The sequence below is a fragment of the Homo sapiens genome, chromosome 16 (genome assembly GCF_000001405.40).
Source record: "Homo sapiens chromosome 16, GRCh38.p14 Primary Assembly".
NCBI classification, from domain to species: domain Eukaryota; kingdom Metazoa; phylum Chordata; class Mammalia; order Primates; family Hominidae; genus Homo; species Homo sapiens.
In genome coordinates this window covers 77057578-77085450 of record NC_000016.10, presented here as the reverse complement: position 1 = coordinate 77085450, position 27873 = coordinate 77057578, and the positions used below count along the sequence as shown (strand labels likewise).

Here is a 27873-nt window from a genome sequence, read left to right as displayed (position 1 = left end):
GTCTTGATAGAGCTTTGCCCTGTTTGAGTCCACTCATCTAGAATGCATAGTCGAAGTTGACGTTTCCACTTTCTCTCCACCCACTCAGTACTAAATCTAGCCCAGTATGTCTTCTGTGCTCATCACTCCACTGAAGCCACCAACATCGCCAGTGTCACAGGATCTAGTGGGCATTTTAGGTTCTGTTCTTCTTGACTTCTCTGCAGTATTTCACACTGATGCCCACTCTCTCCCTGAAATACCATCTTGCCTTGGCTGCCTCCTGCTGTTTTGCCCTTCTCTCCCTGTATTCTTTGTGCACGAATTTGGAGGAATATATGTCTCCAAATATTCCTCATGGCATTTCCCGGACCCCCTTTCTTCTCACTTTGCACACTCTTTCTCAGTGGTCTCATTCAGGCACATAACTTTAATTACAAACTGCATAGAATATACTCAGGTTTATACCTGACACCTAGGCTTTCTGCGCCCTTCAGATCCATGTGTCTAATTGCCCATTCATCTCACTGGGAATGTAAATCAACCTGCCCACAATGGAATGCTTCATCTTCAGTGATTAAGTAAAATTCACTTTTTACATTGACCCATCTTCATAAAAAGCCTGTCCTTCTACCCAATTGCATAAATTTAGGGTCTTCTGAGTCATCCTCAACACCCCCTTCTCCTGCACTCTCATCTACAATCACTGGGGGCTCTGAGTTTTAATTTAAAATATTTCTTGAATACACATACTTCTTTCCATCTCTGCTGTCACCTGTTCTGCCCCTCCAATACTGCTTTGTTCAAGCAAACATCATCTCTTTTGTCTGGATAGCAGCAATAGCCTTCTACCTCTTTGCTCACATCCTCTTCAATGTCTCATTCAGTCCCAATCCTTGAGTCAGAATAATCTTTTGAAGGATAAATCTTACCATTGTCATTCCTGTACTTACAATGGTTCAAGAGTTTCCTGTTGTTCTGTGAATAAAGGTGACATCCTTACCTCTTCACAAAAGCTCCGCATAATCTGCTCCCACGTCCACACCAAGCACTCATTGTGCTTTCTGCTTCAGCCACCCTGGCTTTTAAAATTCCTCAAACACAACCTGTTAATCATTTCACAGATTATTTGCGTGTGCTTCTTCCTCTCCTTAGAAAGCCTCATTGCTCTTCTGGAATGGTTAAATCCTTCTCCTCCTTTAGACAGCATCTTTGTCATGATTTCTTGAGGAGCATCTTTCCTTAATCCTTTTGATTTGGCACAATTTCCCTATTTATGTCCCTGTATGCAGGTGATGCAGTGGTGCACTACCAAGATGACCCCTTAACTAACAGATGAGTTACTTCCATCTGCTGGGAATATTGGCTGCTAATGGCTCCCCAGCTGCCCCTCTTCAAGCCTTGCCCTCAGCCAAACGGTGCTATACCATTCAAGATTATACCTTACTCACAGAGACAAGCCCATGTCCAGCAATAGGTCAGTAGAGGAGCATGGGTTATAAACTCTTGCTTCCTTCTCTGAATTTGGAACATCTTCACGAGATCATCCTAGCTCTAGTCCTGCCCATCACATTGGCTAAGGCCTCTGCTGTGATTGCATAACTGTTCACTATCTCCCTCCTCTCATTCCTGCTTCTCAGCCTCTCATGCATTTTGTACCAAGAGCATTCTCCAATAAACCTCCCATATACATATCACTTATCTCCCATGAGACCCAACCGAAGGCCCTGTGTGTTTCTCCTTCCCAATGTCTATCATGTCTGTAAATATATAACATTAGACTGCCTGCCTTTGAATCTTGGAGGTGCCACTTAATAGTTCCGTGATCTTGTGCAAATAACTTATGTTGCTTCTGTTTCAGGTTCCTTACCTATTTCATTGTGAGAATTAAACTGCTTAGAAAAGCATCTAAGTCAGTTAGGGCTGCTTAACCAATTACCATAGATTGGATGGCTTAAACAAGAAACTTTTTGTTTGGTTTTTTTAATGGTTCTAGAGACTAGATGGGCCATTAGAGATCAGGGTGCCAGCATGGTTTGGTTCTCGGCGAGGGTCCTCTTCCTTGTTGTGTCTCCACATGGCCTTTCCATGGTGCATGCACGAAGTGAAAAAGATACTTGCTTCTCCTCTCTTTTTTTTGTAAGGGCAGTAATCCCATCATGGGCACCCCATCTTTATGACTCATCTGACCCTAATTTCCTCCCAAAGACCCCACCTATAAATACCATCACATTGGAGGTTAGTGTTTCTACATAAATTTGGAAGTGGAGGACACAAACATTCAGTCCACAGCAAACGGTACGTTCAGCATATAGTAGATTCTCAGTGATAGCTACTAATATTACTATTATTCCAAAGGAGTTTGTTGCTTTTATCTGGAGAGAATCTAAAATATAAACAAGTTTAGGAGGTGCCACCTTAAAACAAAGTTTCACAAGTATGTTATTGCAAAAACACTGATCCGATGAGACGAGACACAGATGAAGCGTTCTTTGTTTATACAAGTGTGAGAAGAGCTCACAGATCTCACACCTGGAGCCTCAGGGCATTGAAACTCCAGAGAAGTTTAGAAAAATAATGTGCTTCATCTTTTATAATCCAATGGTCCCAACATTCAGACTATGGAGACATTTCCTCAAGTAACATCTATTAATCCTTTGTAAATCAACTAAAGCTCTTCGGCATAAATTGAATAAGGCAGGTTTAATGTGATTGTAGGGCAGGGAGGGACAAGGGAGCTAGATGGGCTAATTTTGCTCGTTGATATGCCCTGCCCTTCCCTGGCCTTGCCAGTGTCCCTGTGACCCACTCGAATGTGACTGCACAGGCCATCACCAGAGACACCTGCATCCAACATAAGGCAGCAGCCCAAGGCAAGGTAAATTACTGGATGAGTACTTGGTCTTCTAAAGCCACAAATTGCCTAGGATCTCCTTTTCTCAATGTAAGCAAAGGCATCCTGCTGCTGTGGACAGTGTGTGGTGCCTGTTCTGGGCTTGTTATCAACATTTCCTGATCACAGTGACTGATGAGGCACTCCGTACGAGCCTGGTTTGTGCTGCAGGTAATCCCACACCCAGCTGACAAAGCTTTCTCATTAAACAATTACTTTTAATAAACTCGACTGACTTAAAAACACACACACAGAACTTTCTTTTGGATAAGCAAATTTCCCTCTTACTGAATAAGAGAACAGATATGAGTAGTAATTTGTGTGTGTGTGTGTGTGTGTGTGTGTGTAACAGAGATGAAAGAAAATGGAGGAAACAGAGAGAAATGCAAAAAAGCACTAAAATATGAGTGGGTGGGTGACTTACTTCTAAAAATTTTGAAAGCCTGTTTTCCCAAAAGTTTAAGAATAAAAGGTTATATATACATACAAATCTCAACTGAATGTGTCACCCCAAAATTCATATGTTGAAACCCTAATTTCAATGGAATGACATTTAGAAATGAACCACTAAACCACTTTTCTAAACCACTTTCATAGGTTTAGAAAAGTCAATGCTTGGCTTCAAAACTTCAAAGGAAAGCCTGACTGTCTTGTTTGGGGCTAATGCAGTTGGTCACTTTAAATGGAAGCCAATATTCATTTACCATTCTAAAAATTCTGGGACCTTGGGAATTATGCTAAATCTGGGTGGGACACAGTGGCTCATGCCTATAATCCCAGCGCTTTGGGAGGCCAAGGCAGGAGAATTGCTTGAGACCAGCAGTTCAAAGTTATAATGAGCTGTAATTGGGCCACGGCACTCCAGACTGGGTAACAGAGTGAGAACCTTCCTGTCTCTAAAAGAAAAAAAAAATACGTTAAATCAACTCTATTTGTGCTGCATAAATGAAATGAAGCCTGGATGACAGCCCATCTGTTTACAGCATTGTCCACTAAACATTTTAAACTCAGTGTTGAGACCTACTTCTCAGAAAGAGAGATTTCTTTTGAAATACTACTGCTCATTGATAACGTACCTAGTTATTCAAGAGCTCTGATGGAGATGTACAAGGAGATTAATGTTTTAATGCCTGCTAATACAATACTCATTCTCCAGCCCATGAAGGAAGGAGTAATTTGATTTTTAAGTCTTATTATTTAAGAAATGTATTTTGTAAGGCTGTAACTTCAAAGTCAATTGAAAGCCTTCTGGAAATAATTCACCGTTCTAGATGCCATTAAGAACATTTGTGGCCGGGCATGGTGGCTCACGCCTGGAATCCCAGCACTTTAGGAGGCTGAGGCAGGCAGATCACGAGGTCAGGAGATTGAGACCATCCTGGCTAGTATGGTGAAACCCTGTCTCTTCTAAAAATACAAAAAAAATTAGCCGGGTGTGGTGGCGGGCTCCTGTAGTCCCAGCTACTCGGTAGGCTGAGGCAGGAGAATTGTTTGAACCTGGGAGGCAGAGCTTGCAGTGAGCAGAGATCGCACCACTGCACTCCAGCCTGGGCAACAGAGCAAGACTCTGTCTCGAAAAAGAACATTTGTGATTCATAGGAGGCAGTCAAAATATCAACATTAACAGGAGTTTGGAGGAACTTGATTTCAGCCCTCATGAATGACTTTGAGGGTTTCAAGACTTCAGTAGACGAAGAACTGCAGGTGTGGTAGAAACAGCCAGAGAACTAGTTTTAGAATTGGAGCCTGAAGATGTGACCGAATTGCTGGAGTCTCATACTAAAACTTGAATAGATGAGGACTTGCTTTTTATGGATGAGCAAAGAAAGTGATTTCTTGAGATGGAAACTACTTCTGGTGAAAATGCTGTGAACACTGTTGAAATGACAATAAAAGATTTAAACTAATACAAAAACTTAGTTGATAAGGCATTGGCAGGGTTTGAGAGGATGGACTCCAATTTTTAAAGAAGTTCCGCTGTGAGAAAAAATGCTATCAAATAGCATGACATACTGCAGAGAAATCTGCTACGAAAGGAAGAGTCAATCAGTGTGGCAAACTTCACTGTTGTCTTATTTTAAGAAATTGCCATGGCCACCCCAACCTTCAGAAATCCCCACCCTGATCAGTCAGCAGCCATCAACACCAAGTCATGACCTTCTACCAGCAAAAAGATTAAAACTCACTGAAAGCTCAGATGATCATTAGCATTTTTAAGAAATAAAGTATTTTTATAATAAAATTAACATATGTACTTTTAAAAGACTATAAACATAGACTTAATAGACTGTAGTAGAGTATAAACATAATTTTTTATATGCACTGGGAAGCCAAAAAATTTGTGTAATTCATTTATTGTGATAGGTACTTTATTGTGGTGGTCTGAAACCAAACCAGTATACCGAGGTATGCCTGTATCTGGGCTTTTGTTGATGCTAGGCATTATATTATTTTATTGTTGATACCATAGAGTTCCGGCTCAATTCTCTCTTGCTTTCCATGGAAAAGTCCTTATGGGAAGGCATTGATTCTTCTCTTTACCTTTCTAGAGCCCAGTTAATCCAAATCCATAAAAAAGTCATTATATCTTATGAAGGGCATTCTCCTCCCACCATCTGGGCTTTTACTGAGATTTTTCTGTAGGACACTGACTATCTTGGTCTTGATGGCACTTTGTGACTAAATAGACCTACATCTCAAGTTTTTCAGTTATATTAACTTCCTTTTCAAATACTTTTTGAAAAAAGTTTAATTTTCCTTACAAGATGGATTCTTCCCCTAATAGTTTCATAGCTGCTCTCTCTCCTTTATTCTTCTAAGTATAAAGAGTAACAGTCTAATGGGCATCTGGAAATCAAAGAAATTTAAGTCTGTAAGATTTCTTCCCTGATCCCAGGGAAATTTTTTTTATTTTTATTTTTTTTTAAGTCAGAGCCTGGCTCTGTCACCTAGGCTGGAGGGCAATGGCACCATTTTGGCTCACCACAACCTCCGCCTCCTGGGTTCAAACTATTCTTGTGCCTCAGCCTCCCGAGTAGCTGAGATTACAGGCGCACGCCACTACACCTGGCTAATTTTTGTATTTTTAGTAGAGATGGGGTTTTGCCATGTTGGCCAGGCTGGTCTCAAACTCCTGACCTCAGGTGATCCGCCCGCCTCAGCCTCCCAAAATGCTGGGATTACAGGCGTTAGTGACTGCACTTGGCACCCAGGAAGATTTAAGCAAATCAGTGTTGGTCTTAAGGAAAGGGAAAGTTTAACATAGACTGGTGCAATTCATCAGTGTGAAAGATGATTCCAGCTATTCCTCAAAAGGAATAAGGAACAGAAAAGTGTGAGGTTGGGGATGGAGTTCTCATGCATCAGGATGCTTTCCAGTTCAGTATAAATCTGGGCTCTTCCCAGAAGTGCAGTCGGACCTATTACATCCATCCATTCAACCTTCTGTCCAACTGTTTGTCCATCTATCCATCCATCTACTAATTCATTCATTCCTTCAAATCCACATGGATTGAGGTCAAAAGAAAATAAAAATACATTTTACATATTCAACATTTTCAGCTATGAAAGCTGGATTTTTCCACTTTTTCACTGTTAAATGTTGAGTAATCAAGAATTGATAGTTGATGAAGCATCCTAACTACAGTTAATTCTTAGAAAAAGAATATTCTTTAGAAAAATATTTATTATCCACCTACTGACTTCATGGGGTGGCTTAAGGCTTTCGCATGATAGAATAGCAGTGAAGATAATGTTTTGGGAAATGTCAAGCACTGCTAAATAGTAATCCAAGCATTGAATTATTATACAACCTGATGTTTCAGAGTCAGGCGGGGATTTTAAATTAAAAAAAAAAAAAGAGTAAAAGACATGTCATCATGGAAAATTCTCTTACTTTCCCTGACCATCACAAACATTTTTCTAATAACAGCTGAAATAATTGACCTTTCCAAGACTTATCGGCACTTCCAGGTGCTAATATAATTGCACTGAGAAACTTACAGGTTTCTTTTCATATTAAAGTTAGCTTGCAGGTTCATGAGAACTCAGCTCATGAAGTGTCCACCCTCATCGCTAGCAAGTATTGATTTCTCTGTTTCAAAGAACAGTTATTAAAGTGTGGACTCTCTTACTATAAACTTCAGATAGTTTCCTTTTTGTGGGATTAAAGGATAGCTAAATTAAGGCTTTTAAAAAAACTTTCCATTTGGAGAATATATTCTTGCCTTCTATGTCTTGTTAATTATGAACAAAACGCAGTAGAATAAACACAGTAAAGCAAAGGGAAATAAACTATAAAGGATTAAAAAGGAAAAGATAAAGAGGCAAACTAAAGAACAGTTTTGAAAGCAATGTTATTTTTTATTATTTGGTGCAGAAAACTGTGAAGCACACAAAACAATCTACAGGAAGTGGGAAAGATTTCTTCTCATTACTGGCCTTGAGGCAATTTTTTAAGCTGCCATAAGCTGACAGACAGTCATGATGGATATCATTATAAAATACACTGAGTTGGAAAATGGAGCACAGAATGAAATGGTCCACATCAAAGGGAGAAAAAATAAGTCCCACAGAGTTCTCCACACAGTGAATAGCTCCGAGACTGTTAAAGACTGGCATCACAAAATTAGCCCTAACCTTGCATGATTTTTTCTTTTCTGGAAGATCATATGACCTTTTCTTTATTACTTATATCTCGTGGTTCCAAAATTCATGTCAAGACTTACTAAATAAAATTAAGGCTAGTAGCCCCAGTCTTGTACTTTAATAGACAATGACTATTAACGAATTTCCTTCCTACTTAGATAAAGCATGTCAAGGGAAAAAAACACTAATGCTGATTTCCTCAGTGTTCAAACCCATTGTGGGTGGGGATGGGGAATGTGTGTATTAACTCTTCTAGGCCTACCAGAACCATTATGTTCGTGAGAATGCCAAATTATTCCGAAAGGGTGAACCGCAATTCCTCTAACACCTCTATGCACCCCTTTTGTACTGAGGCCTCACAGTCGTTGGTCAGTCAAGGGCCAGTTCTACAGAACTCACTCCTCAGTTCCCACAGCAGAGCAGATGGGACACAGCAGACACAGACAGCTGTGCAGTCACGGCAAAACTGTGATGTGAATCGAAGACAAGTCTCCTTCAAACCCCAGCCCTGCCCTGTGGGGAGGGCTGAACTCTGCAGACTCTGGCCAGATCACTTAAGTTACTGGCACTTGCATTTTCTCATTAAAATGGGTAAACAAAGTCTACTTCACATGATTATTGCATGAATGAAATAAAATAAGTTATATATCAGGGGCATAATTATTACCATATGTGCAACTAAGAGTGTCTTTAATAGGATGTCCATGGTTCAGGGTTGCATATAGTAAATAGTCCCAAAATCTATAGATTTATGAAATACAGCTTCCCAGAAAAGATTAGATAGAGCTGTAAAGTGGAGTTGCTTCATAACTAAACATTTCCTCCCGTGTGCAATAATATGTCACTGATCTCAGGGACTTCATCTTTTCTAACCAGAGAAAGGATGTCCTAAAAAGGAAGGAAGGTAGGGTGGGGTGGTTGCCCTTTTCCGGTGTCACATACCTGTTCCTATTTTGTTGGAACATCTGCTTGTTCACCTTTTTTTTTTTTTTTTTTTTTTTGAGATGGAGTTTCACTCTTGTTGCTCAGGCTGGAGTGCAACGGTGCAATCTTGGCTCACCGCAGCCTCCGCCTCCCAGACTCAAGCAATTCTCCTGCCTCAGCCTCCCGAGTAGCTGGGATTACAGGCATGTGCCACCATGCCCAGCTAATTTTGTATTTTTAGTAGAGACGGGGGTTTCTCCATGTTGTTCAGGCTGGTCTCGAACTCCTGAGCTCAGGTAATCTGCCCTCCTCGGCCTCCCAAAGTGCTGGGATTACAGGCGTGCGCCACCATTCCCAGCTGCTTATTCATGTTTTCAAAAGTATTAGTAAAGCTTGATAATGGGTAAGAGCTTCAGGTCTCAGTTTCCATTAATCTAAATGGGACTAATAATGCCTGCCTTATGTATCTTAATTCTTTTCTGGTGGAAATTGTACTAGAGATAAAAGTAGTTTAAAAAGTCGTAAGTTTTACCAACACAGACATATTAAAAGCAACATTCATAAAACATATACAAACACTGGGTTGCAAGAAAACTTGTCATGGTGGACTTTCCTAATCTTAACACTTTCTTCCTCCCTCTGTTAACTATTCCCATCAGATTTAAAACTTTTCTTTTTTAGCTTTTTCCTTCTGGTCTTGTATTAAAGTGAGACCAGGAAACATGCCCTTTTCATCTCTCATTTTTCCAGTACCTACAAAAATGCCTCATTCACAGTGGGGCTCCAAAAATGCTTTGAAAATGGAACATTTTTACTGGAGTGTTTCATGTTAAACACCTCACACTTCACAGAAATCCTCCTGTCTGGGATATTGTTTAAAGGAGATCTTAATAGGTGCCAAGACAGTGATTATGCATGGAATTTTCTGAGCTAGAGGAGAACTTGAATACCATGAATTCTGCACTATTATTTTTTAAGTGGTTAATTCCCAGTGAGAAGGAGTGGATTACCCAGAGTTACCTAACTAGAAAACGACAGAGCCAAGACTGAAAATTAGCTACCTTCACTGCCATTGTTGCCCCTTCAGTATTATCATCTCATATAAGCATTTAGAAGTTTGATAGGTAAAGCATGAGATACCTGTCAGGTATTTCTAAGAGTGTATGGTAAAAATGAAGAAAAATTGTGGAATCTAATATATAAAATATTTTACTTTTGGACAATATTAAATTGTTATTTATTTATTTATTTATTTATTTATTTATTTATTTTTTGAGGCAGAGTCTCGCTCTGTCGCCCAGGCTGGAGTGCAATCGTGTGATTTCGGCTCACTGCAACCTCCACCTCCCAGGTTAAAGTGATTCTCCTGCCTCAGCCTCCAGAGTAACTGGGATTACAGACACCCACCATCATGCACGGCTAATTTCTGTATTTTTGTAGAGATGGGGTTTCACCAAGTTGGCCAGACTGGTCTTGAACTCCTGACCTCAGGTGATTTTGCTTGCCTCGGACTCCCAAAGTGTTGAGATTACAGGCCTGAGCCACTGAACCCAGCCTAAATCATGATGATTTAGATAAAAGCTATACAACGTGACCATGGGTACACTTTATTACCTGCATTCATTGGATAGTTGATTGCATTAGTCAAAAATCACAAAAAATTTCCCTTGGACTAAAGTACCATTTGAAAATTGGGCAAATAAAATTTCTGGTGCTTTTATCTAAAAAAGAATATAAACACATATACACACATTTATACTTTTTTTTTACAATGCAAAATTTTTTTTAACTTTTAAGACAAACATACATACTTTTAAAATGTGCTGTTTTATTTGGCAGGGCACAAACTGTCATTACAATCAAACCTATAATGAATTAGTTTTGGTTGTTATAATATAATTCAATTTTAGGAGTTTCTAGATCTCCAGTGTCTAATGCTGTTTGTTGAAGAGTCATTATCATTTTTCCATTGAATTGCCTATTGTACCCTTGTCTAAAATGGCCATATGTATTTGGATGGATCTATCTCTCAACTTTCTATCCTGATCTTTTGATATATATTTCTATCCTTTCACCAAGACCACCCTCTCAAGATTATTGAAGCATTATAGTACACCTGAAAATGGAAGAATATGTGTTCTACAACCTCATTATTCTTTTTTACATTTTTGAATTATTATTCTCATTTCTTTGCCTTTTCATACCAATTTTATAATTCATTTGCTAGTGTCTGTAAAAGCTCCTGTTTTGATTTTGAATGAAATTGCATTGAATCTATGGGAATAATCAGCATTTTCTTGGTTAAATATTATTTTCCATAACACAGTATGTCTTTCTTTTTTTTAAAAGGTCTTTGTTGATTTATTTCATCAGTTTTACAGTTTTCAACATACAGATCCTGTACACGTTTTGTTAGTTTTATAGCTTAGTATTTTATTCTGTTTGAAACTATAGCAAATGGTATTTCAAAAACTTCAATTTTCACTTGTTCGTTGCTAGAATATAGACATGCAGTTGTGTATATACTGTGTATATATTGCACTTATACTTTTGCTAAAGTTAAACTCTGCTAAACTCATTTATTATAGGTAGAAGTTTTTTAGTAGACTGTTTGAAATTTTCTGTAGAGATAAATTATGTTGTCTACAAATGAGGCCACTTTAATCTCTTGCTGTCCAATATGAAAGCCTTTTATTTATTTTTTATGTCTTACTACACTGGTTAAAACTTCTAGAACAATGTTGAATAGGAGGGATGGAAGTAGACAGCAGACATTTTTGAATTTTTTTCATCTCGTTAATGGGAACACATTCAATCTTTTGCCATTAAGTATGGTGCTAGCTGTAGGTTTTTCATAGATGCACTTCATTAGGTTTGAGGAAGTTCCCTTTTATTCCAAGTTAATTAATAGTTTTTAATGATTGATTGATCTTGACATTTTGTCAGCTGATTTTTTTCTGCCCCAATTGTTAAAATATTTTTTTCTTTATTAAACTGTTAGTACTGTGTATTTCACTGATATTCTAATATGAAAACAACCTTGCATTCTGGGAAGAAACTAGACTTAGTAATTTGTGTTGTATTAGTCAAGGTTCTCCAGAGAAACAAAACTATAAACAAAACAAAACCATAAACATTTAGGATTATTATGTTAGTGAATTGAGGTTTTTCTCCATCTATAACTTGGCAATTTTCTTTGCTCTGAAGTTTACTTTGTGTGATATTAATATAGCCACTCTAGATTTCTTTTGATTAGTGTCCATATGGTATTATCTTTTTCCATTCTTTTATGTGTTTTAATCAATATTACTTTTCATATTTACGTTGTACTTCATTTAATCCTTCTTTGATGCTCTTCTTTTTGATCCAAATTTCTGACCTATATTATTTTCCCTTTCCTTAAAAAATAAACTGTATTTATCTATCAGTGATAACTTTAGGAGTTGCAATAAAAGTGCTCAACTTTTTATAGTCTGCCTAGAATGACTATTTTGCGACTTCAGATGTGATGTAGACATTCTTTCGCCCTGCAGGCCTCTCTATTCTCCTGCTTTTATTGTATAAGTATTTATTATATCTAGATAGATAAAAAAATTCCATGAGACGATACTATAACTTTTTTTCAGCTCTCAAAAATATTTTTAGTAAATTTTAGGTATTTAGGTAAATATTTATTTTTAGGTATTTAGGTAGTATTTAGGTAAATATTTATTTTTAGGTATTTAGGTAAATATTATATTTACCTACATAATTGACATTTCTGTTCTTCCTTCCTTTCTGGTATTCTGCTTCCTCTTGGAATAATTTCTATTTTTTCAGAAGAGCTCTCTTCCAATCTTTTTTGAACAAACTGTTTTATTTTTCCGTCACCTGCTGAATTTCTTTTATTGTACTTTGTTTTTTTTTTTGAGATGGAGTCTCGCTTTGTTGCCCAGGCTGGAGTGCAGTGCCATGATCTTGACTCACTGCAATCTGCACCTCTGGGTTCAAACGATTCTCCTGCCTCAGCCTCCCGAGTAGCTGATATTGCAGGTGCATGCCACCTTTCTTGGCTAATTTTTTTTTGTTTGTTTGTTTTGGAGATGGAGTCTTGCTCTGTTATCTGGCCAGGCTGGAGTGCAGTGGCACAATCTTGGCTCATGGCAACCTCCACCTCCCAGGCTCAAGCAATTCTCCTGTCTCAGCCTCCCGAGTAGCTGCGACTACAGGCACGTGCTACCCCGCCCGGCTAATTTTTGTATTTTTAATAGAGACGGGGTTTCGCCATGTTGGCCTTGCTGGTCTTGGACTCCTGACTTCAGGTGATTCGCCCACCTTGGCCTCCCAAAGTGCTAGGATTACAGGTGTGAGCTACTGCGCCCTGGCTAATTTTTGTATTTTTTAGTAGAGATGGGGTTTTATCATATTGGCCAGGCTGGTCTCAAACTCCTGACCTCAAATGATCCACCTGCCCGGGCCTCCCAAAGTGTTGGGATTACATGCATGAGCCACTGCACCCAGCCTATTGTACTTCTATTCCTGGATGATCCCTAGATATAGAACTCCTAAATTATTGTACTTTACAAAACAAAACAAAAATCTTCCAATATTTTAAATACCTTAAGTATGTTCCACCTCCTTCTGGTATCCTTTTATTTTTTATGAGTAATCAACAGGCACTTGAATCATTGATTTCCCCATGGAAGTAATGTGCCATTTTTCCCTGGCTACCTTCAAAATTTTTTTTCTTGTCTTTAGCTTTTAGCAGTTTGATGATGATGTGTGTGGCTGTGAATTTCTTAGGGCTTTTCTTTTTTTTAATAAAATTTTATCTTAGATTCAGGGGGTACAAGGCATGTTTGTTAAACGAGTATATTACATACTGGCAGAGATTAAGCTTCTAGTATACTCATTATCCAAATAGTGAACATTGCACACAGTAGATCTTTTTTCAACCTTCGCCACCCTCCCAACTTTCCCTTTTGAGGTTTCCAGTGTCTATTATTTGCATCTCTATGTCTATGTGTGTTAGTCCATTCTCATGCTGCTAATAAAGACATACCCAAGACTGGGTAATTAATAAAGGAAAGAGGTTTAATGGACTCACAGTTCCACATGGCTGGGGAGGCCTCACAATCATGGCAGAAGATGAAGGAAGAGCAAAGGGACTTCTTACATGGTGGTGGGCAAGAGAGAGCTTGTGCAGAGGAACTCCCATTTATAAAACCATCAGATCTCATGAGACATATTCACTACCACTGGAACAGTGTGAAGGGAACTGCCCCCATCATGCGCTTCTCTCCCACTAGGTCACTTCCACCATATGGGGGAGTTACAGCAGCTACAATTCAAGATGAGATTTGGGTGGGGACACAGACAAACCATATCACTATATATACCTCCTGTTTAGCTCCCACTTATACGTGAGAACCTGTGGTAGTTGATTTTCTGTTTCTGAGTTAGTTCACTCAGGATAATGGCCTCTAGCTCTATCCATGTTGCTGCAAAGGACATAATTTCCTTCCATTTAGGGTTGCATAGTATTGCATGGTGTATATATACAACAACATTTCTTTTTTTTACCCATAATACAAAAGAACTCATGTTTATTGGTTTCAAGTTCTAAAGGTCAGGATTCTGAGGCTGTCACATTATTTGCTTTCACAATTTTTGTCAATTTTGTCTACTCTGAATGGTTTTGCTGCATTCCACACTTGGCTGGCTGCCCCCCATCCCCTATCTCCAGCAATGGGTAGCAGGAAAAAGAAGTTAAAATACAGTGATGGGATTACTGGGCAGGGAAATTAAAACCAATAATAAGCTGATAAAGGAAACCAAGTGAGGTTGAATTTCATGAATAAACCTAGATTTATATATTTTAAACCTAGATTCTTAATAACTGTCTTGATTATAAGGAGTATCAGCTTTATGATGGGATTTCATTTTTGTTTACAGTTACATAGAACATTTTGTTTATCCAGTTAACTGTTGATGGACACTTAGGTTGATTCCATGACTTTGCCGTTATGAAGAGTGGAGGCTTTTGTTTAGAGATCATAAGCTTCTCCAACCCGTAGGTTCATATTTTTTGCTAAATTTGTAAAATTTTCAGCTAATATATTTGTGTGTGTGCGTGCGCATGCGCACATATACGTGTATGTGTACTGCCTTCTGCATTCCCTCTCCTCTCCTTCTGGAATCATTAGAGCTATTGGTACTGTCCAATGGTTTTCTGTGACTTTATTCATTGTTTTTTGGTCAATCTTTGTTTCCTTCTGTTGTTTTAACTGGACAATTTTTGCTGAACTATGGTGAAGCTCACTGACTCTTCTTTGTCATTTTTGTTTGCCTATTGAGCCCATCCAGTGAGTTTTTAATTTCAGTTATCGTGTTTCAGTTTAAAAATTTCAATTTGATTCTCCTTTGTATTTTCTAATTCTGTTCATTAGAAGAGTGTTTCCTCTTATTTCTGAAGGATTTTTATAATAGCTGCTTTAAAGTCTTTTTTAGAAAATTTCAATACCTGTGTCATCTTGGCATTGTCTTTTTTTAAATTACCTTTTTCCACATAAATTCCAAGTTTCCTGGTGAGTGATTTCGAATTGTATCTTCAACATTTTTAATGTTATGTTATTAGATACTGGCTCTTGTTTATATCCTATAGACAATACTGATAATTTTGTTTTAGCAGGCAATCCACCCAATTTTGCTCAGGCCACAAGTTTTGACTAACTTTCTGTGGATTTGGGCTTTGATGGCAATGCCTTTGCAGTGCTATTTGAATATTCCCTATGTGGTCCCCATCACTAGCCAATCTGGGACATGGGCAGTGGTCTATCCTATAGTTTAGTTCTCAGAATCTGTGTATGTCAGGTTCATGCAAGTGCAGCTCAGAGTGGAGCCTAGGAGTTTATAAACAACTTTGTTATGTAGATTTCGTGCATTCCTTCCTCTCCACATTCATGCCATTACTTTATCATTTTCTCGAGATCCTCTTTTTAGTCTTCTGAACAGAAAGATGGAAGTTTTGTTTCCTCACTCTGCTGCTCACTTTCTGCAGCTGTGCTCAAGTCCAGCACCAGCCAGCAAGAGGACAAAGTTTAATGGATGATTACCCCTACCTGTTGGTGCCATTGCTCTCTGATCAGAGAGAAAAGCTCTTGGGCCACTGCAGGCTGGGCACAGGAAAACAGAAATAAAAGTCAGGGTATTTCTCTCCCCACACTCAAGCATTGCGAGACCCTTTTCTCACTCTTCATGCTAGACTAGAGGATTTCTCCTGGAACTCTCTCTCTGTCCCAGTGCTCACTTCTGTCATTGCTGAGGAATACTGGAGATAAAAAACAGTAAATGTACCAATGGTTTGATAATTCGAATGCTGTTCTCTTGCAAATTATTTCTAGTTACTTTTCAGAGTCCTTGAATAGCTTCTTTCTGTCTGGATTTTATAGCTACATATACTGGGAGAACAGGGATATACATGCTTATTCCACCTTACCTAGAGCAACAACTATGGGTCTATTAATAAAGTACTTAAGACTATATACAATTAAACATGAAATTCCTCAGTTACAGAACACACAATTCAAGTGCTCAATGGCTACATGTCTAGCGGTGATTGTGTTGCACAGCACAGATACAGGACATGTCCATCATCACACAGAACGCTATTTGTCAGAAATATTCCAAATTAACAAACAAACCCAAGTGGAAAAATTACTCTTAAATACGTCCAAATAGTTGCAAACAGGCTTTGTTTTCCAGGCAGAAGAATTTGGAAAATGCTAGAAATCGTATCTCACACCTATCTGCAAAATTGCAATGTTATTTAGAGTAAGGATGTTCTGACTTCCTCTTCGTGACAAGCAGACAGACATCTCAGGAAGCACTCAGGTAGCCGGCTGCTTCTGGGAAGGAGTGGGGCAGGGCTCCTCTCACATTTACAGGACTGTTCATTCACATCATCTCTTATGGATCATGGTGCCTCAACTCCACCTGCCAACATTAATAGAAAATGACAGTTGCCCTTTGCTCCAGGAGTCTCTGGTCTTATGGCTAACTGATGCTATTTTTAGAAACATTATCTACCTGTAACAGGGAAAGGCATATGGAGTTTTTGTTATGGTTTATGTTGTTATTCTTTGTTAAGAAAAACTGAGCCCATCCATCAATCCCTTGCTACATTCACAGATTAATTTAGTTTGGGATATATGGCCAAATTTAAGTCCTCAAACTTTTTAAAAATGTTTTTCCGCTCTTATCCATTATTACACTTTTAAAAAAATTAAAAATAGGAGAAAGACTACAAAGAAGAAAGGAAGGAAGGCTTAAAAATAACCACATAAGCTCATTAATTTTCCCTTTCATAGACTGTGTGTGGGTTGGGGTTGTTCTCTAGTACACACAAGGGACATGTTTAAATTCTCTTCTCACACTTTGTGCCTCAAATATCATGCACAGGAAAAGGTATCATTAAGCAGTATTGTTGTAATAAGACCTGGTGTTTCCTGAGCCAGGTTTTTGTTCTAAAATATAGAATAGAATACAGCTGCAATCAGATATTCATTTTTTAAGCTAATACAAGTTGAAAATTTTACAAATAAGTATAACTTGCTTCACACAAAACCTGTGGGAAAACCTGCCTCAGTGTGTCATGAGGCCATAGCTAAGTTTCCCAAGCTTTTAAAGATGACCCACTGGAGAGAAGGACGTGATGGTCAGTGTTTAGCTGAAGAGGACACAGTTAGTCCATAATTTAAAAATGTTTTTTACACGTTTCCTAAATCTTTGATGCACTTGGAATTTATTCTGTTGTATTATTTGAGGTATGGATGCAATTTATTTTTTTTTTCCTGAAATGGCTCTCCAGGTTTCTGAAAGCCATTTATTTAATAACCCATGTTTTCCCCACAGCTTTCACATGCTGGCTTTATTGTATGTTACAACCATTGGATTTTAAGCGAGGGAGGGGCATACTACAATCTTTCATTCATTTGTGTCTGAGGTAGAGCTTTCTATTTTTATGATTCCACCCACAGAAAATTGCTATTCTAGACTCAAGTCTGCAAAATGTCCATCCACATTATTTGTAGGTTGTAAAAAGTCAGACTCACTTGCCTTCTGAACAGTGTATATAGGTGGTAAACATTTACAATGGAAACCAAATGCCTCCATTAGAAGACAGGAATAGATGGTTTAAGGTTAAGAGAACTTTAGAGTTAAACTACAAATATTCCACTCCTTGTTTGAAATGTTTCTAATGTTCATCATTGCATTTTCTCTATTCAGGAAGTAGACAATATGGAAGATAATTTAGTGTTTGAGTTGCAACATAGCATAGCACTTAGGGGCATAGACTGTACCATATACCCTGGGTTTCAACCCTTGTGATATTGAGAATGTTGCTAAATCTCTGTGTGCCTCAGTTTCTATTAACATTGAAGCAGAGGTAGGACATGGTTTGGATTTGTGGTCTCCACCCACAACTGGTGTTGAATTGTAATCCCCAATGTTGGAGGCGGGACCTGCTGGGAAGTGATTGGCTCATGGGGGTGGATTTCTGCCTTGCTGTTTTCAAAATGAGTGCATTCTCACGATATCTGGTTGTTTAGAAGTGTGTAGCATCTCTTGCTTCTATCTTCCTCTTGCACCTGCCAAGAGGTGGAGCCTCTTGCTCCACCAAGGAGCTCCTGCTCCTTGCTGGCTTCCTCTTCGCCTTCTCGCATGATTGTAAGTTTCCTGAGACCTCCAGCCATGCTTCCTGTACAGTCGGAACTGTGAGCCAATTAAACCTTTTTTTAAAAATAAATGACCCAGTCTCACGTAGTTCTTTTTATAGCAATGCGAGAACAGATTAATACAAGGTGATAATGGGAACCTCTTGCAGTGTCTCTGTAAAGCATAAATGGTTATACACAGGAAGCCCAGTGTCTGGCCCATGAGCCCTTCTGATTTCCTACGTGATTTATGGTCTGGTGGCGTCCCAAGATCATGTGCTTTTATTCCACCAAACTGTTAGGGCCATCAGGACTTTATCGTATAAACTTTGGCATCACACAGGCCTGTGTTTAAATTTCAGTTCCTTGTCTAAGAGGTGTAACTGACCTGTTTCCTTATTTGTAAAATGGGAATAGTAACAGTGATTACCTTGAGGTGATGTTGTAGGGATTATATCAGATGATGTGGCTATAGAGTCTAGCTCTGTACCTGGCACATACTAGGCTCCTAAAGCTGTTAATTCTCCTCCTCCTTCCCTTCACCAGTCCCTGGCTGTGAGAACCTGCTGACTTCTCTAGTCAGTCAGCAACTTCCTGATCAGCCACTCTTTTAAAACTGCCTTTTATTCTAGCAACAGGGCAGCAAAGAAAGGCAAGCTGTTTATTAGCTATTCTTCCAGATGCTCTTCCTCCTCCTACCCCCACCCCTACCCTCTGACAGGGTCCATGGTGTGGTGTTCCCCTGCATGTGTCCATGGTCCATGTGTTCTCATCATTCAGCTCCCATACTCATAAGTGAGAATACATGGTATTTGGTTTTTGGTTCCTGCATTAGCTTGCTGAGGATAATGGCTTCCAGCTCCAGGTGATGGAACGATCTGTGCAGCAAACCACCATGGCGCACGTTTACCTATGTAACAACCTGCACGTCCTGCACAGGTACCCTGGAACTTAAAAGTTGGAAATTAAAAGAAAAAGAAAAAAAACAAAGGTAAGCTGTCTAGTCTTCACTCAAATTCTGGGAAGCTCTTGGCCACAGTCTCCTAGTGGTGGTTATCCAGAAGAAAATGGGCTGAGTGGGTTCCTGCCTCTGAACAGCCTAGACCTAGGGTATAACTCACTTTGCACTGGTTTTACTTTTTTTTTTTTCTGCAAGGAAAATGCATGCATTTTTTTCCATGCTCTTCCTGCCCCAGGATCTCTCCCTCCCATAGGGGATGACAATAAAAAAATTACTTAATAATATTTTAAAAACATGGTAAAGTGGACTTTATTCAAGACCATTGTGATAGGTATAGGACCCACTGCAATGGGCAAATGGGAAGTTATAGCCAAGCGACAGGGTGGGGTTCAGTGGATAGAAAACTACTAAAAAGAAACATCAAGGATAAGAAGGATTTTGGCTAAATCTTCCTAACAACTTTTGCTGAAGACAGGCCAGGGTGAGCAGACATTCCCTGGAGGACAGAGGAGGATGAGAAACCTGGTCAGATATTGAGGGTGATGTGATATCACAGGTAGGGAGTTCTTGCTAAAATGAATTAGCAGGATTCTCTGCTAAAACTGAATTTTATAAAGAATTGCACAGATAGGCCTAGCAGGAGCTTCAAGAGCCTGACAAAAGTTTGACCAAGCAAAGAATCTTTATATAAGGACAAACACTTGTTTTCCTCTTTTGCTCTCTGAAGTGGAGGCCTTTGGCTTTGCCAGCTTTCTGGCCGGTTGACCCACCAAACACAGCAGTGCCTCCCCTTGCTCACGATTTTCCTGAGGCCACTCCCCACCCTCCCAGGCTCTCATCAGCTAAGTTGCTTTGTGCCAACTCTGCTGTGTCCTCTTGGCCTGGGATGGCATTTCTTTCTTGGAGGCCTGATTAGTTTTTGCAGTAGCATAAGCTTCTCTTTCAGAGACTGCATGGCTCTTGCCAAATTAAGTTACTGTCACAGTACAAATGAGAGGTCTCTGGAGTCAAATTTTATACTGTTTGGTACCAATATGGTAAATATTATGCCCAATATCTAACCTAGTGCTGCAGAATTGACCATTGTTTCATAATAAAAATTAACTTTTCTCCAGCACAGTGCCAGGCTGTGTGCTCAGCACTTAGCATGATTTTAAAAAAATTAACACTAAACCCCATGAGGCGGATACTATTATTGTACCCATTTTGCAGATAAGGCAGTGCTTGAGGTCTAGAGAGGTGAAGTAGCTGCAAAGACGATTAAGTCAGAAAGTGACTAAGTTAGGATTGAAAATCCATCTGCCCTACACAAATGTTGGGGCCATGAAAGTGTCTATTGATATTTCCTTTTTTAACTTTGAAGTTCAGGGGTATATGTGCAGGTTATTACATATGGAAACTTGTGTCCTAGGGGTTTGTTGTACAGGTTATTTTATCACCTGGGTATTAAGCCTAGTCCTCACTAGTTATTCTTCCTGATCCTCTTCCTCCTCCTTACCCTCTACCCTCTGATAGGCCCTCGATAGTGTTTATTTTCTAATTCTTGATCTATTAGTTAAGGAGAATGGATGTTTCTTGGTGCAAGAGTATTTTTTGCCTTTCTCAGGACAGGTGGGTTCTGGGCCTGGCTGGTCAGGGGCGAAACATGGGTGTGGGTGTCACAGACAGGCAGACGCTGAGGGCCCAGTACCTGGAGGAACTGTGAGGGGGCCTGGAGACAGCCTGAGGCACCCTGCAGTCTTCCTTCCTTAGGCTCCCCAGGGAGGGCCTGAGAGCACAGAAAGACAGTAGGACTCCGGGCCTCGTGTAGTCAGTTTACTCTTCAGCGGAGATCACTGATCCTGTGCTCCACACGGCACAGTCAGAGCTGCAGGGTGCTTTGCCAACTCAGCTTTCTTTTGAATCCCAAATTACTGGGAAAAAACTTATCTCAATTGTCTTTGTCAGGATGTCCACAGACCTCTAAATGGTATTTCCCATTAAGTACTGTAGTCTCCCCAGAGTACCCTCGAGAAGATGACTCTGCTTGGCCAACGCCAGAGGTGGGAGGGATTCTCTGAGGTCATTTCCATCTAAAGGGCACACCCGCTGGTGTGAACATGCTCACATAACAGTGCTTCTTTGCACAGCTCAGGTCTGCTCACAGGCAGGTCCCGCAGTTCCCTGGCTGGTCAGGGTAGGACTTGCGAGAATCCCAAGATGACAGGAAACAGCATGGGGCTACCTGGGACAGTGACCTCTCCCACACTTAGCAAACACACGGTTTCTTGCTCCTCCCCCAAGGTATTTCCATTCATGGATACGAGTCTTTTATTTCCCTCTTCTTCCCCTTCTGCATGTTTTCAGAGATTTCAGACATAGGGATAGCCTGAATGGTATTTACCAAACCCTGGGGCAGGCTTCCTTTAAGTAAGAACAATGCAGAGAGAACAATAAGGAGTTGGATTTTTTCCTTCTAGCATGGGAATGCCTGACTTTGGCTCTGGATGGCACACCTCCAACAGGGATAATAGCAGCTGAACACAGATGCCTCTGGCCACCACGTGTTAGTTATGGAAGCCACTGTGGTTATTGTGAAGCTGACCCACTGATCATCAGCCAGGTCAAACATACCAAAATCAGAGTGGATTCAAGGTTATCTCTACATCAGTGTGCTTTTGAAGTGTGCACAGTGTACTACCCTGGGTCTACCCGTGGGGGTTTCTTATGTGGGATATTGTCCTGTAGGTGTATATTGCAGTTAGGGAGGAGAACAGATTGAGAATAGCTGATAGACTCTGCTGACAACACAAGACAGAGTGAGCTACAAACAACCTGCCATGAGACCGCAGGGAGAGGAATGATTAAGTCTGACATGAACCTCATACACAAATGGGAAACAACAGAAATAAAACATAATTGGAATCGACAACTGATCTTGAACAATAAATAATGCATATCGATGAACAATCTTTGTGCTGTTCTTTGCAGTATCTCTTGGATATCTGTGTGACGTCACCATTCATTCAATGTTTTCTGTAAACTCACTTCTGTGGATGCCTAGTGAACTAATTTTCTTATTTCTTAGTGTTTAGCCAGATTTCTACTCTCTGAAGCTTAAGAGTTAAAGTATTTATCTTTTTATGGTCAGGCATGAGTGTATGTAGCAACAATAGCTCACTTCCTCCTGTTTATAAAACTGCGACAAGAAAGCAATGCCTGCACAGCCTGCTGGAGAGATTGATGAGGACGCTGGGAGCTGGCAGTGACACAGGGAGCGGAGAGTCCTTAATCTTCCAGCAGAGCCACAGGCTCCTTGGGTTTTCTGCATCCAGTGCACCGAATGTTCTAGCAGCAGCAGCCCTGTTAACCTCTCAGGAGAGGCATTTGAATAAACGCTTTTGAACTCATGTAGTATATTTTATCTGTAAGGACGGAAGTACATAGTTCACCCTGACATCCTGTGTATTTCAAATTACTATTGATGAGTGCTAAGCTGACATGTTTTGGAGGATAATTTTCCGGTAGCTAAAAATAACATTTTAGATGCTTTTTGTAATAGTATGTGAAATCGGTCCAGGTATTATCCTTCTTTTTGTATGATATGAAGGCAATGGCCCCAAAAGAAAATGCGTTTGAGGAGATGTCCTCATAGTTGCTATCCACACTATTCATCCTGCATTTTCCTATCAGAATGGCATGTTTGCATTTCTAAACCCACTTAATAACTGCTAGTGTATTTTATTTAGAGAAAGGAGCAGGATGGTTATTATTATCCTTTTATAGAGACAGAAATTGAGGACATGGAAGGGATCCATGTTGGAAGAGCCAACGTAGAACACATGTGTTGTATTTCCCCTTTCAGCCAGGATACAGAAGGTAGTATAATGAGTGATTGAGTCAAACACACCATCACTTTCTCTTGCACAAATAAGGCAGCTTCCACAAAGGCAAATCCTGCTGGAGAGCACTTTTAGGAAGACTTGTGGCCAGTGGAAATCTGTCCACGGCCCTCTAAAGGCTATTGTAAAAAGGGATGTAATCAAGAGACTGTATTCAAATAGCAGCAGGATTCAACATGATGGGAAGTTTGAATATTACTTGTTGAGTACTTAGAACAGAAAAAAAAAATCATACCTGGTGTCATGAAAGCAGACTCAGGATGATTTAGTCTTATTTTGGACAGAATGAGGTGCTGCATGTGGTTTTTTTTGTTTTTTATTTTGTTTTGTTTTTCCTTTCTGAACTCCCACTGCTAGAGAGAATACATTTAATATTCTTTTGAAATAACTTTGAGATTACACCATCCTTAAAAGGAATTTTGCGTGTTTAAAAAGTAATTTAAAACTCATTATAGAAAACCTGAAAAGCACGATGAGTTGATAGGTGCAGCAAACCACCATGTCATGCGTATACCTATGTAAAAAACCTACACGTTTTGCATATGTATCCCAGAACTTAAAGTATAATAAAAAAAAATTTTTAAAAACCCATCAGATTCACTCCTGTTTGCCCTTAGCATTTCATGTCTGGACAATAAAGGCACTTAATAAATATTTAACGATTTAATGGAATGAACCCACAAAACTACCCAGAAATAATCTGTTCATATTTGGCATACAGTGTAAAATGAAAATAGTTTTGTGTGTTTTTATATAAACATATATAATATATATAGTATATATATACTATATATCCATATAGCATTTTCTCTATATATGTATATTATATAAATCTATATTATATACAGATATAGTATTTTATATATACATACACACATATGTATCATATGGGCACTCACAAAAGATAACTAGATTTACTCCACAACAAACGCTGACTGTGAAGTACTTTCTACTCTTCTTATCAAACTGAATTCTCCATTGTTTTCTGACATCAATGGGGGAACAATTAAAATGTAGTATTGTTGACAAAGTAAGCACTTCTTTCTCCCATTCTCATTCACATCCAATATTTAATACCACTTTTGATATATCCTGAGAATATTACCAGTGTCTACCCCTTTACCACATAACAGGAAACATTCTTTAAAGGGTTTATTGCAAAGAATTGCTTTATGTGATTGTGGGGACTGAACTGGCAAGTTGCAAATCTGTAGGGCAGACCATTAGGAAGAACTGAAACTGCTCTCCATGGTGATATTTTTTTCTTCTTCAGGAAGCCTCATCTCTGGTCTTCAGACTCTTCAACTGATTAGATAAGGCCACCCAGATTATCTAGAAAACTCAGTGTTACTCAAATTCAACAGATTATGAACTTTAACCACATCTACAAAACACCTTCACAGTAACACCTAGATTTGTGTTTGAGTAACTGGAGACAGTAGCCAAACTGACATGTCAAAAAGAACATCACAATCATCAATACCTTAATCCAAGCCAGCACCACCTGTCATATAGATGGTGACATCTTTCTGCTTCCACACTTAGACAGCTACCATCTATTCTCCCTTCAGTGGACCACAATGTGCTAATAATATGACCGTGTTTTCCTCTCAATTTCCTACTTAACTAACTCAGTTTCAGCCACATCACACAATTTTGGTGTTTCTTGCACATGTCAAGCATACTCTTGATCAGGGTTTTTGCACCCTTTGTTCCCTCTGAAGCAATCTTCCTCCAGATAATCACATGGCTGACTCTCTTGCTTAACTCAGGTCTTAGCTCAAAGTCACTACCTCAAAGTCATAGAAAAGTATTAACATGATGATTAGGAACTTGGACTCAAGCCACATGGTCTAAATTTTAAATAATGGCACCACTTTCTAGTCATGTAGCCTTGGATAAATGACTAAACTTGCACACCTATCACATACTATTTTTGTGAGGATTAAATGTTTTAATATATAGAATAATAACTATGTAAGCACAAGCTTTATTCCCTGGCCGTCTCATCTAAAGTTGCACTCCATTGCTGTAATCCCCATGCCATCCATGCTTTGTGTTTCTTCCTTGTCCTTCTATATTGTATTGTAATCTATGATTTATATAAATTATCATTTGTTTTCTCTACTAGTCTTCCATGAGGACAGGATCTTTGTCTCATTTATTGTTCTCTCCTCACTGCACAGAGCAGTTCCTGGTACATTGTACACATCTGGTAGATGTTTGTTGAATGCATTAACGAATAAATGACCGCCAAATATAATTTATATAGTAAATTATATTTAAGTATAGCAAATTGCATTACATCTTTTTTTTCTGTTTATACAGGTTGTAGTAGTTCCATTTTATCCAGCATTTCTAATGTAACCTTTAAAATCTAGCATTCTGTTTACGAATCTCAAACTCAACACTTAAAGCTCCTATCTTCTGGCCATTAGAAACCCTCCAGTTCGTATAGGCATTGTGCTGATTCTGATTTATCCATCTACACAGTCACCCACCAAGCCAATGTGCTCCAGCCCAGATCTCTGGTATGGACCCCTCTCTCCTCCCTTTCCAAAACGTGGTTCAGAATTCTTCCAAACAGTAGCCTTCCTCTATGTCTTTTTTGGTCCGCACTATGTTATTTTATATATCATTGCTTCCTTAATTTAAAATTTAGTATTTTGGACCTCTCAAAGACTTCTGTGTTATTTGTTTTTTCCCCTCTTTCCTTTATTTTGTATTCTAACTAGAGGAAGCATGTTGAGAACAATGCATATGTTTCTTGAACTTGGAATGCTGCCCTTTAGTTTGTAGATTCTCACTCAATCCTTCTCCAAGGACTTGGCTCCAGTCCCAGACCTTTCATGTTGTGGCTGTGTGACTTTAAGCAAATCACACACATAAACAATATCTGTTGTACAGTTACCTCACAGGGTTTTTATTCTTCTAGTAATTTATCATCCAAACTTTTTAGATAAAACTCTTTGAAGTAAAAATTTAAAATAGTTAAACATCTCAAATTAGGCCAATATAATGACCTATAGTTTATCAGTCAATAATACTATTAGGTCATTATATTGGATCTATAATATAGTTTATGTTGAAACTATTTTCTTAAAACAGTATCTATAAAACTAAGAATAACACATTGTTTAATTCATGCACATTAAACAAAAATCCTGTTTGTTGGTTATTTGAAAATTTAGAAAAAGGCTAAGTAGGATGTTTCTTGGTTTGTATTCATGTATTTCTGTCAGTGCCTTACCTATCTCCTTAATGATGTGTATCGTTATTTCCTAAATTCTCGTTTCTAAAAATTATTTTCACTTTTTAAAAAGAAAAGTGCCTGCATTTTGCTTCAAAATTGTATTTAATTGCTCAAATGCCTCTTTTACATAAACCACAATATTTTGAAATCTTAGGAAAACATTTCAAAATATTTACATGCCTGATCACCAGGTAAAATCAGAGCTAATCATGCTAAATGGGAAATATCCTCAAGTTTATTTGTTTCACAATTGAAGCATATAAATATTTCAGCCCAAATATTTTCATAGGCACTGGCTTTTTGCCCTTATATAAAGTACTGTTGTTTGTTGGTCAAATATGTTTACAGACAAAACTTGTCAACAAGTTGTTTCTACTTGTGATTATTTTGAATATTTTGTCAAACTCACATAGTTCACCAAATTATAGGCTTTCTCAATATAGTTCCAGCACAGAATATAAAATTTATCCAGTTATAAATAGGAACTTGCAATATTCTCAAACACGATTATAGAAGTACAGAACTAAATCTCATACACCATTTTAGCTCTCATCTGTCAATAATTTTGGGTCTTTTATTTTGTGAAGGTGATTATTCTCTTTGTAAAATTTGCATCGATAATTGCAAGTTCTTGAAAATTTCCAAAACTGCTAAAGCTTCAGCTTGTTAGGTTGCCATGGATAAATGATATGTACCACATGGCCAAATTTAAGTACATTTCTCATCTTAACATTGCTTAATTTATTAAGAATGTGGCTTTTACCAAAATGCTATGCTCCACTAAAATTTCTGACTGCATTATTGCTACAAAATCAAAATGTTTTCTTAAAAATGAATTTTAATGAATTTATAACTATTTGCAACAATGACAGATAGCTTCTACCTGAATAAACTTCTCCAAGCTTAAATTTCATTTCAATAACTGGATGGAAAAATAGAATATTTACTGAAATATAGTAACAAGTAATTTTGCATTGAAAATATGTGATAGCCCTGATATAAAATGGCATCATTTCAATTTAAGGGGTTGTTGCTACCATTGCTACTGTACTACTTCTATTATTATTATTTGGCAAATAGAGCTAACATTAACAGCAAACGCTTCACTTTTTATGTGTATGCAAAAAATTTGGAATCAAAACTAAGCAAAATTAATTTAGTAAAACGGTTACTTGATCTAAATGAAACATTCAGCACTTTCTGCAACTGAATGAGGGTTGTGACTTTGGGCCACTGTCTTCTCTAAATAACAACTGACTTTGTAATAGATACTTCTTAGCAAGTTTGCATCTCTTGGTTTTCCTGTGGTTGATGAAATCTAGACACTGTACACATGCATCATCAAACTTCTTGGTTTTAAAAATTAAATGTGTATTTTTAAGCTCACTGGTGTCAAAGATTTATTTCATAACAAAAAAAAACCATTAAAATACCCAAGTAACAAAAGACATTTGCACACGCAATAAATGATAAAACCTCGGAAGCAAGAGGATTCAAGCTTTTGCTTTTATGTCTTGTCACACCTATTTCACATACCTAACTTGTAATTTCCTAACCTGTCATTCTCATGTTCCCCTCTGTTCCCCTGCCTGGCAGCCCAGCTGCTTTGAGCTCCTCCCAACACAGACAGCAATCAGGTA

General features: G+C 38.6%; 2 annotated features.

Annotated features, from left to right (window-relative positions):
• Positions 5729 to 5947: a silencer, noted in NCBI's record as "fragment chr16:77113401-77113619 (GRCh37/hg19 assembly coordinates)". NCBI's record gives its function as "represses an EF-1alpha promoter that drives an FKBP-Casp9 reporter gene in an ReSE screen in K562 erythroleukemia cells {active_cell/tissue: K562}" and the evidence as "EXISTENCE:reporter gene assay evidence [ECO:0000049][PMID:32094911]".
• Positions 20892 to 21095: a silencer, noted in NCBI's record as "fragment chr16:77098253-77098456 (GRCh37/hg19 assembly coordinates)". NCBI's record gives its function as "represses an EF-1alpha promoter that drives an FKBP-Casp9 reporter gene in an ReSE screen in HepG2 liver carcinoma cells {active_cell/tissue: HepG2}" and the evidence as "EXISTENCE:reporter gene assay evidence [ECO:0000049][PMID:32094911]".